Source organism: Homo sapiens, chromosome 2 (genome assembly GCF_000001405.40).
Source record: "Homo sapiens chromosome 2, GRCh38.p14 Primary Assembly".
NCBI classification, from domain to species: domain Eukaryota; kingdom Metazoa; phylum Chordata; class Mammalia; order Primates; family Hominidae; genus Homo; species Homo sapiens.
In genome coordinates, this window is record NC_000002.12 from 95778330 (window position 1) to 95789664 (window position 11335).

At 45.7% G+C, this 11335-nt stretch overlaps 1 annotated feature.

The window, feature by feature from the left end:
• Window positions 1-557: an enhancer, noted in NCBI's record as "H3K27ac-H3K4me1 hESC enhancer chr2:96444078-96444634 (GRCh37/hg19 assembly coordinates)". NCBI's record gives its function as "activates a minimal SCP1, AML or CMV promoter by ChIP-STARR-seq in primed H9 embryonic stem cells {active_cell/tissue: H9 hESC(primed)}" and the evidence as "EXISTENCE:reporter gene assay evidence [ECO:0000049][PMID:30033119]".

Consider the following 11335-nt stretch of genomic DNA (forward strand, 5'->3'; position numbering starts at 1 on the left):
AAGAAATCTTCTACTCCTTTTGGTAAGTTCCCCTGTGTGTTTTGTTTTCTAACATGTTATAATCTGGCTATTCATGGTGGTCATCGTGAAAAGCAATCCCATATAAGGTGGATGCTCAGATTACGGATTAAAGAATCAATTAGTCACTTCCAAGATGGCCAAGTAGGAACAGCTCCGTTCTGCAGCTTCCAGTGAGATTGACACAGAAGATGGGTGATTTCTGCATTTCCAACTGAGGTTCCTGGTTCATCTCACTGGGACTGGTTGGACAGTGGATGCAGCCCATGGAGGGTGAGCCGAAGCAGGGCGGGGCATTGCCTCACCTGGGAAGTGCAAGAGGTCAGGGGATTTCCCTTTCCTAGCCAAGGGAAGCCGTGACAGACTGTACCTGGAAAAACGGTACACTTCTGCCCAAATACTGCACTTTTCCCATGGTCTTAGCAACCAGCAGACCAGAAAATTCCCTCCCGTGCCTGGCTCAGTGAGTCCCATGCCCATGGTCCTTTGCTCTCTGCTAGCGCGGCAGTCTGAGATCGACCTGCGAGGTGGCAGCCTTGTGGGAGGTGGTGGAGGGGCGTCTGCCATTGCTGAGGCTTGAGTAGGTAAACAAAGCTGCCAGGAAGCTTGAACTGGGTGGAGCCCACTGCAGCTCAGCAAGGCCTACTACCTTTATAGACTCAACCTCTGTGGGCAGGGCATAGCTGAACAAAAGGCATCAGACAACTTCTGCAGACTTAAAACGTCCCTGTCTGACAGCTCGGAAGAGAGCAGTGGTTCTCCCAGCATGGCGTTCGAGCTCTGAGAACAGACAGACTACCTCCTCAAGTGGGTCCCTGACCGCTGTGTAGCCTGACTGGGAGACACCTCCCAGTAGGAGCCAACAGACACCTCACACAGGCAGGTGCCGCTCTGGGATGATGCTTCCAGAGGAAGGATCAGGCAGCAATATTTGCTGTTCTACAGCCTCCCCTTGTGATACCCAGGCAAACAGGTCTGGAGTGGACCTCCAGCAAACTCCAAAAGACCTGCAGCTGAGGGTCCTGACTGTTAGAAGGAAAACTAACAAGCAGAAAATAATAGCATCAACATCAACAAAAAGGACATCCACACCAAAACCCCATCTGTAGGTCACCAACATCAAAGACCAAAGGTAGATAAAACAACAAACATGGAGAGAAACCAGAGCAGGAAAGCTGAAAATTCCAAAAATCAGAGCGCCTCTTCTCCAAAGGATCGCAGCTGCTCACCAGCAACGGAACAAAACTGGACAGAGAATGACTTTAATGAGTTGACAGAAGTAGGCTTCAGAAAGTCAGTAGTAACAAACTTCTCTGAGCTAAAGAATATTCTAACCCATTGCAAGGAAGCTAAAAACCTTGAAAAAAGATTAGACAAATGGCTAACTAGAATAAACAGTGTAGAGAAGATCTTAAATGACTTGATGGAGCTGAAAAGCAGGGCACGAGAACTTCATGACGCATGCACAAGCTTCAGTAGCCGATTCGATCAAGTGGAAGAAAGGGTATCAGTGATTGAAGATGAGTTGAATGAAATGAAGTGAGAAGAGTTTAGAGAAAAAAGACTAAAAAGAAATGAACAAAGCCTCCAAGAAATATGGGACTATGTGAAAAGACCAAATCTACATTTGATTGGTGTACCTGAAAGTGACAGGGAGAATGGAACCAAGTTGGAAAACACTCTTCAGGATATTATCCAGGAGAACTTCCCCAACCTAGCAAGGCAGGCCAACATTCAAATTCAGGAAACACAAAGAACACCACAAAGACACTCCTTGGGAAGAACAACCCCAAGACTCATAATTGTCAGATTCACCAAGGTTGAAATGAAGGAAAAAATATTAAGGGCAGCCAGAGAGAAAGGTCGGGTTACCCACAAAGGGAAGCCCATCAGACTAACAGCGGATCTCTCAGCAGAAACTCTACAAGCCAGAAGAGAATAGGGGCCAATATTCAACATTCTTAAAAGAATTTTCAAGCCAGAATTTCATATCCAGCCAAACTAAGCTTCTTAAGTGAAGGAGAAATAAAATCCTTTACAGACAAGCAAATGCTGAGAGATTTTGTCACCACCAAGCCTGCCTTACAAGAGCTCCTGAAGGAAGCATTAAACATGGAAGGGAACAACCAGTACCAGCCACTGCAAAAACATGCCAAATTATAAAGACCATTGATGCTATGAAGAAACTGCATCAATTAATGGGCAAAATAGCCAGCTTACATCATAATGTCAGGATCAAATTCACACATAACAATATTAACCTTAAATGTAAATGGGCTAAATGCTCCAATTAAAAGACACAGACTGGCAAATTGGATAAAGAGTCAAGACCCATCATTGTGCTGTATTCAGGAGACCCATCGCACGTGCAGAGACACACATAGGCTCAAAATAAAGGGATGGAGGAAGATCTACCAAGCAAATGGAAAGGGAAAAAAAGCAGGGGTTGCAATCCTAATCTCTGATAAAACAGACTTTAAACCAACAAAAATCAAAAGAGACAAAGAAGGCCATTACATAATGTGTAAAGGGATCAATTCAACAAGAAGAGCTAACTATCCGAAATACACAGGCACCCAATACAGGAGCACCCAGATTCATAAAGCAAGTCCTTAGAGACTTACAAAGAGACTTAGACTCCCACACAATAATAACTGGAGACTTTAACACCCCACTATCAACATTAGGCAGATCAATGAGACAGAAGGTTAACAAGGATATCCAGGACTTGAACTCAGCTCTGCACCAAGTGGAACTAATAGCCATCTACAGAACTCTCCACCCCAAATCAACAGAATATACATTCTTCTCAGCACCACATCACACTTATTCTAAAATTGACCACATAATTGGAAGTAAAACACACCTCAGCAAATGTAAAAGAACAGAAAGCACAACAAACTGTCTCTCAGACCACAGTGCAATCAAATTAGAACTCAGGATTAAGAAACTCACTCAAAGCCATACAACTACATGGAAACTGAACAACCTGCTCCTGAATGACTACTGGGCAAATAATAAAATGAAGGCAGAAATAAAGATGTTCTTTGAAACCAATAAGAACAAAGACACGATTACCAGAATCTCTGGGACACATTTAAAGGACTGTGTAGAGGGAAATTTATAGCACTAAATGCCCACAAAAGAAAGCAGGAAAGATCTAAAATTGACACCCTAGCATCACAATTAAAATAACTAGAGAAGCAAGAGCAAACACATTCAAAAGCTAGCAGAAGACAACAAATAACTAAGATCAGAGCAGAACTGAAGGAGATAGAGACACAAAAACCCCTTCCAGAAATCAATGAAACTAGGAGCTGGTTTTTTGAGAAGATCGACAAAATAGACCACTAGCAAGACTAATAAAGAAGAAAAGAGAGAAGAATCAAATAGACACAATAAAAAATGATAGAGGGGATATCACCACCAATCCCACAGAAATACAAACTACCATCAGAGAATATTATAAACACCTCTATGCAAATAAACTAGAAAATCTAGAAGAAATGGATAAATTCCTGGACACATACACCTTCCCAAGACTAAACCAGGAAGAAGTTGAATCTCTGAATAGACCAATAACAGGTTGTGAAATTGAGGCAATAATTAATAGCCTACAAACCAAAAAAAGTCCAGGAGCAGATGAATTCACAGCTGAATTCTACCAGAGGTACAAAGAGGAGCTGGTACCATTCCTTCTGAAACTATTCCAAGCAATAGAAAAAGAGAGAATCCTCCCTAACTCATTTTATGAGGCCAGCATCATCCTGATACCGAAGCCTGGCAGAGACACGACAAAAAAAATTGAATTTTAGACCAATATCCCTGATGAACATCGATGCAAAAATCCTCAATAAAATACTGGCAAACGGAATCCAGGCAAACTGAATCAAAAAGTTTATCCAGCACGATCAAGTTGGCTTCATCCCTGGGATGCCAGGCTGGTTCAACATACACAAATCAATAAACGTAATCCATCACATAAACAGAACCAACAACAAAAACCACATGATTATCTCAATAGATGCAGAAGAGGGCTTTTGACAAAATTCAACAGCCCTGCATGCTAAAAACTCTCAATAAACTAGGTATTGATGGAATGTATCTCAAAATAATAAGAGCTATTTATGACAAACCCACAGCCAATACCATACTAAATGGGCAAAAACTGGAAGCATTCCCTTTGAAAACCGGCACAAGAGAAGGATGCCCTCTCTCACCACTCCTATTCAACATAGTGTTGGAAGTTCTGGCCAAGGCAATCAGGCAACAGAAAGAAATAAAGAGTATTCAATAAGGAAAAGAGGAAGTCAAATTGTCCCTGTTTGCAGATGACATGATTGCATATCTAGAAAACCCCATCGTCTCAGCCCAAAATCTCCTTAAGCTGATAAGCAACTTCAGCAAAATCTCAGGATACAAAATCAATGTGCAAAAATCACAAGCATTCCTATACACCAATAACAGACAAACAGAGTGCCAAATCATGAGTGAACTCCCATTCACAATTGCTACAAACGGAATAAAATACCTGGGAATCCAACTTACAAGGGATGTGAAGGACCTCTTCAAGGAGAACTACAAACCTCTGCTCAACGAAATAAAAGAGGACACAAACACATGGAAGAACATTCCATGCTCATGGATAGGAAGAATCAATATCGTGAAAATGGCCATAATGCCCAAGGTAATTTATAGATTCAATGCCCTCCCCATCAAGCTACCAATGACTTTCTTCACAGGATTGGAAAAAACTACTTTAAAGTTCATATGGAACCAAAAAAGAGCCCACACAGCCAAGACAATCCTAAGCAAAAAGAACAAAGCTGGAGGCATCACACTACCTGACTTCAAACTATACTACAAGGCTACAGTAACCAAAACAGCATGGTAGTGGTACCAAAACAGACACATAGACCAATGGAACAGAATGGAGGCCTCAGAAATAACCACACATCTAAAACCATCTGATCTTTGACAAACTTGACAAATACAAGAAATGAGGAAAGGATTCCCTATTTAATAAATGGTGCTGGGAAAACTGGCTAGCCATATGTAGAAAGCTGAAACTGGATCCCTTCCTTACACCTTATACAAAAATTAACTCAAGATGGAGTGAAGACTTAAATGTAAGACCTAAAACCATTAAAACCCTAGAAGAATACCTAGGCAATATCATTCAGGACATAGGCATGGGCAAGGACTTCATGACTAAAACACCAAAAGCAATGGCAACAAAAGCCAAAATTGACAAATGGGATCTAATTAAACTAAAGAGCTTCTGCACAGCAAAATAAACTATCATCAGAGTGAACAGGCAACCTACAAAATGAGAAAAAATTTTTACAATCTACCCATCTGACAAAGGGCTGATATCCAGAATCTACAAAGAACTTAAACAAATTTACAAGAAAGAAACGAACAACCCCACCAAAAAGTGGGTGAAGGATATGAACAGACACTTCTCAAAAGAAGACATTTATGCAGCCAACAGACACATGAAAAAATGCTCATCATCACTGGTCATCAGAGAAATGCAAATCAAATCCTCAATGAGATACCATATCACGCCAGTTAGAATGGCGATCATTCAAAAGTCAGGAAACAACAGATGCTGGAGAGGATGTGGAGAAATAGGAACACTTTTACACTGTTGGTAGGAGTGTAAATTAGTTCACCCATTGTGGAAGACAGTGTGGCAATTTCTCAGGATCTAGAACTAGAAATACCATTTGACACAGCCATCCCGTTACTGGGTATATAACTAAAGGATTATAATAAATCATGCTACTATAAAGACACGTGCACACGTATGTTTACTGCGGCACTGTTCACAATAGCAAAGACTTGGAACCAACCCGAACGTCCATCAGTGATAGACTAGATTAAGAAAATGTGGCACATATACACCATGGAATACTATGCAGCCATTATAAAGAATGAGTTCATGTCCTTTTCAGGGACGTGGATGAAGCTGGAAACCATGATTCTCAGCAAACTATCACAAACACAGAAAACCAAACACCCCATGTTCTCACCCATAGGTGGGAATTGAACAATGAGAACACATGGACCCAGGGCAGGGAACATCACACACCAGGGCCTGTCGGTGGGTGGAGGGCTGGGGGAGGGATAGCATTAGGAGAAATATCTAATATAAATGATGAGTTGATGGGTGCACCAAACCAACATGGCACATGTATACGTATGTAACAAGCCTGCACGTTGTGCACACGTACCCTAGAACTTAAAGTATAAGAATGAAAAAAGAATCAATGTATGATTCTTTAATCCATCATCTGAGCATCCATCTTATAAGGGATCACATTGTTTTTCTCCATATAGTAAGAGTTTTTCCAACAAGAACAGCAACTCTTTCCCACTGACTTGTGATGCACCTTTTATCATAGATGAAATTTCCCTCTAACCAGGGATCTCCCCTCTCCATGCTGAGTTGTCTGTTGGTTCACTGTCACCATACTGCTTAAGACAACAACAGCACCTTTAGAGTGTACCTGAGTATCTGGAAGAGCTTCCTGCCTACCCTCCTTTGGCTTAGGCATCTGTGGACCTTTATCCCTCCTCGCATGATTCAGAGTGAGTTTCTAAAACTGGAATCTTTACTGGGACTACAGTGAAGTGATGGATGAATTGAGGGAGAACTGACATCTCCATATATCAGGCCACCCCTCCCAGGAGCAGGAGATGACTTTACCTGGGGAGTATCTACACCCCCATTCTACTCCCACCTACCAATTAGTCGGCAATTGATGGAGTTGCTCAATCAATGCTAGGGAGCAGATCTCCAGGGAGGAAGACAGAGTGGGCCTGGAATATTCTTCAGCATCACTGCTTCCATTCCCAGCCACGCCTGGCAAGAGGGAGGAAACATCCTGTCACAGAACCTATGTTTTCTGGGTGGACGAAACCAGGTGTCCTGGAGGAAGCAGGTATGGTGGGAAGTTGGGGCAAGGGGCAAGGGGACACAGAGCAACAGAACTTCTGGCTTTCCCTAGCATGGGCCAACCCTCCCGGCCAGCATCATGAGGCGGCACTGGCTGCTTCCCCCTTGTCCCGGGGATTGGGAGGATTGTTGTGCTTCATTCAGCCTGTCTACCTCATGACTTGACTGAGCTACACCTCAACATTGTCAAGTAAGTAGACAGATTATCATCCCCATTCAAGAGAAGAGGAGAAGTCATCTCCTGCTAAGGTCCACAGAGAAGGAAGTTCACTCATTACCTGAAAAACATTTATCCAGACCTCACAGTGCAGCAGCTTCTTGGCCCTGGGATGTGGCAGAGACCAGACAAATGGTCAAATGGATCCAGTCAGCATTAGACACCATGGTGGACATGTTGTTCATGTCAGCCAGCACCATTCCCTGAGAAAACCAACCCCGTGCACTCCGTTTCTCCTAGGCTGGTCAATCATGGTGCCCCCTCACCAAAGACAGGAAAGGGGGCAATGGTGTGGGTCCAGTCACTACATCAGGACATGCCACACCCCCTAGCCACAGGGATTGGTCAAGAGGGTATGAGGACGATCCTTGCAGTACCGGAGTCTTCCCTGGGGTTTCATGTGTATGTTGAGGGACAGAAGTTTCTTCCTACTAAGGTTGATGAGGAGGGTGGATATAAGTCTTGGGCGGTTGGCAGTCAGGTTTTTATAGAAAAGAGCCTTCAGGAAGAACAAAACCAAGCAGAGACAAGCAGTATGGACACATGAGAGAGAACCGGAGGCCTGACAATGTTGCTTTAGCACTTAGGTCCAGCCATGCCTAGAGTTAACACATTCATACTTTCTCGTTATGTGAGCCAACCCATGAGCTTTTGGCTTATGCATACTTGAGTTGGAATAAGTGGAAACAAAGAGTACCACTGGACAGAGCCCCTACCAACAAATCCAACTCTCTGCCCACTCTACGGAACTTTCCCCTCAGGTTCCACCACACTCTTTCAGGTTGGGGCTTATTTTGATCATAATTCCCCTGTTCTCAAATTGTCTTTGAATCCAGATTCTGTCAGTAAGTACCCTTTATTCCTTATTGGTTTATGACATCTGCTAGAAGGCCAAGCCTGCCTTCTGTGTCATCCCCCAAGTTGGTGTTGAAGATACCGATGTGGAGGACAGAACACTGTAGCATGCAGCACCCTCCTCCCTCAGGTTGTCAGCCCTTGAATCTCTCACGCTGTCCCTGGTCTTCACAGAATCCCAGATCCCCAGTATTAGAAAGGATCTCGGGTTCCCCACTCACTCTATCCCAGCCTCTTGGCTCAAGTTTTCATCTATAGAAGTGGTGCCAGCCTTGGCCAGAGGAAAGTGGCATGTGTGGTCAGTGTCTGTTGGCAGCTTCCCAGCATCAATGTTCCCATTCTCCTGCCACTAGCACCCATATTTGACTTCTCCATTCTAGGCTGCCATTTGCTGCAGTGCTTAGCAAGACATTATGGAAGGTTCTGGTATAACGGAAGGGATCTACAACATAGAGTACCACCAATGGTTACCTCTGGAGGTGGCTGTGCTCAGAGCACCTGGGCCTGGGAGGGAAAGGGTGTCTCAGAAAGAGGCATGTCTCCTCCTTTAATCAGGGTTCCTCAGAGATTGGCATTTGAAATCTCCAGACTGAGTAAGGAATATTCACCTTCACCCCACGGGGGCAGACACCATCCAATCAGTCGAGGGCCTGGATAGAACAAAAGGCAATGGAAAAGTGAATTTCCTCATAACCCTAACTAACGGAGGAGACATGCCTCCCTCTGAGACATCCCTTTCCCTCCCAGGCCCAGGTGTTCTGAGCACAGCCACCTTCAGAGGTAACCATTGGTGGTGTCTATGTTGTAGATCCCTATTACTCCGGAATCTTCCATAAAGTCTTGTTCAACATTGCAGCAAACCACAGCATAGAATGGAGAAACAGAACCAAGAATATAGGTAGGGGGATGGACAGATGAGCTTTATTATGGGAATTGGCTCCCGTGATTATGGAAGTTGAAAAGCCCCACCATATGCCTTCTGCAAGCTAGAGAACCAGGGAAGCTGGTGGTGTAGCTCAGTCCAAGTTTGAAGGCCTGAGAACCTGTGGGTGGGGGTGCTGCTGGTCCAAGTTATAGAACCCAAAGCCTGGATCTAATGTCCAAGGGTAGGAGAAGATGGCTGTCCCAGCTGCAGGAGAGAGAGAGAGAGAGAGAGAGAGAGAGAGAGAGAAGGGAAGAGAGAGAGAGAGAGAGAAGGGAAGAAAGAGAGAGCCTGCATGCAAATTCTCTTTTCCTCTGCCTTTTTTCTATCAAGGCCCTCAACCGATTGGATGGTGTCTGCCCCCATTGGGTGAAGGTGAATATTCCTTACTCTGTCCAGTGATTCAAATGCCAGTCTCTTCCAGAAACACCCTCACAGATATACCCAGAAATAATGCCTTGCCAGCTCTCTGGGTATCTGGGTATCCCAGTCAAGCTGACACCTAAAATTAAACATCACATCTCCTTTTCTCTGCCCCGCTGGTGGTCCCCAGACAGACTGGCAAGAGCCCCTCTGCCCATTCTAATGCCAGCTCAAGTCCTTTTCTCCAGGTGATATACAGGAGAAAGGCCTGTCAGTGCCTTCAGGGAACACCTGCCCCCAGCCACAGGGAGGGCCTTTGTCCCTCTGGGCGCAGGCAGTCAGTTAGGTGCATCAGGATATTCTGGGTAATGCATTCTGGCATGAGTCCAGGATGGGGCTCACCAAGTCCAGTCCAGGTTGGGCAGGGCCCAGCTCAAATCAGTTTATGTTTCTCTCAGGGTCGGGTCAGTCACAATCAGTGTGTATGGCAGCTGGCCTACAGGTCTTGCTGCACTGCAGCTCTGCCTCTCCTGCAAACTGCTTGAGGGAGAAAGAGCACACTGAGTCCTCGGTCCCAGACCCAATCTGGGTCTGAGAGGGATGCTTCTTTTCAAATGTCCAAATTGCAGCAAACAACCACCACCACCATAACAAAATACGTTTCTTCCAAAGAAGCAGCACATCTGACAGCTGAACTCTGAGATGCTGCGCCTCGTCTCTACAGTCAATCCATGCAACCTTCTAGTCTAAAGTCTCTGCTTTGGGGCTACTTCTCAGCATGAGAACTCCTTAAGAGGTGGGGACGTGTTCACAACGGCAAAACTCGGCTGCCTGTACAGATGGTGTTCCCAGAACTAAGAGGCGTCAGCCTTCGGTAAATTCAAGTCTGCACTCTTAGGAGGCAACTTACAACTTCGAAGTGAAAGTCTATATTTTTCGTTTTTCAGCGTCAGAGTCTCAGGATCTCGATGTGGACAGGCACCCTGATACAAAAGAACGGTAAGATGGGGTACAAAATGGATTCTGCAGGTACCGGGAGGACGTTGCAAATCCCAATGAAGGTGAGTGGATGCACACACAGCCTGGATAGACACGAAATGGCACAAAGGGAGAGAAAGGCTACATCCCGGAGGGGCAGGGTGTGGGAGTCACATCAGGGCTGGTGAGTCAGAGACGAGGGAGGATGTGAACACGTTCTGTGCTGTCTTGGGCCCCGCCAGGCTCATGTGTGGCTTTGCTCCGGCACACGTGTGTCACATGCTCTGGAACTGTGGAATCCTCTGGCATGTCAGGCGGGCTCATTCCATGGGGGCAGGAACAGAGAGCCCAGTCATTCGCACGTTCATCTGTTCTATACTGCTTGCCTCCCACTGGCTGGTCTCCTGCTGGGTGCTGGGAACACAGTTACAACATGAATGAACCCATAAGGTCTTTGTTTACGCGGAGCTTAGGGCCGAGACAGGAGTCAGGTCTTAATCAAATAACCACACGAATGAACACACCGGCCACAGGCCCAGCTGAAACCTTAGCACCGCGCGGCTGCTGGAGGTCCCTGACGGTGGTCTAGGCTTCACATTAACAAAGGAAATGACACTGGGAGGCCTGACTTGTTTTTCATGACTGCAACTGTCTCTTGATGATCTTCTCTCCTTTCTAATCGTCCCCAGCTCAGAATTTTGCTAGAGCCGAACCCCAGCTTGGAGGAGCGTAAGCCCTGGGATAACTTCTTTAATCAGAATCTGGCCTGAGTCCCTGCTCGAAGCTCAAGCACCCGGGGCCTCGCGGCCGCCTGCAGTACTCCCCTCCCACCGCGGGCCAGGGCCGACTGGAAAACGGAGCAGGCCATCCCCAGAGCACGGGTCCCGTGGCCACGTTGAGTGTCGCAGAGTACGGGACGCAGGGCGGGGCTTCTGGACCAGCGCGCATCCCAATTGGCTCTCGGGGCTGCCTTTTAGCCGGACGCGCGGAGGTGGGCAATCCGCTCCTTCCCTTGAGC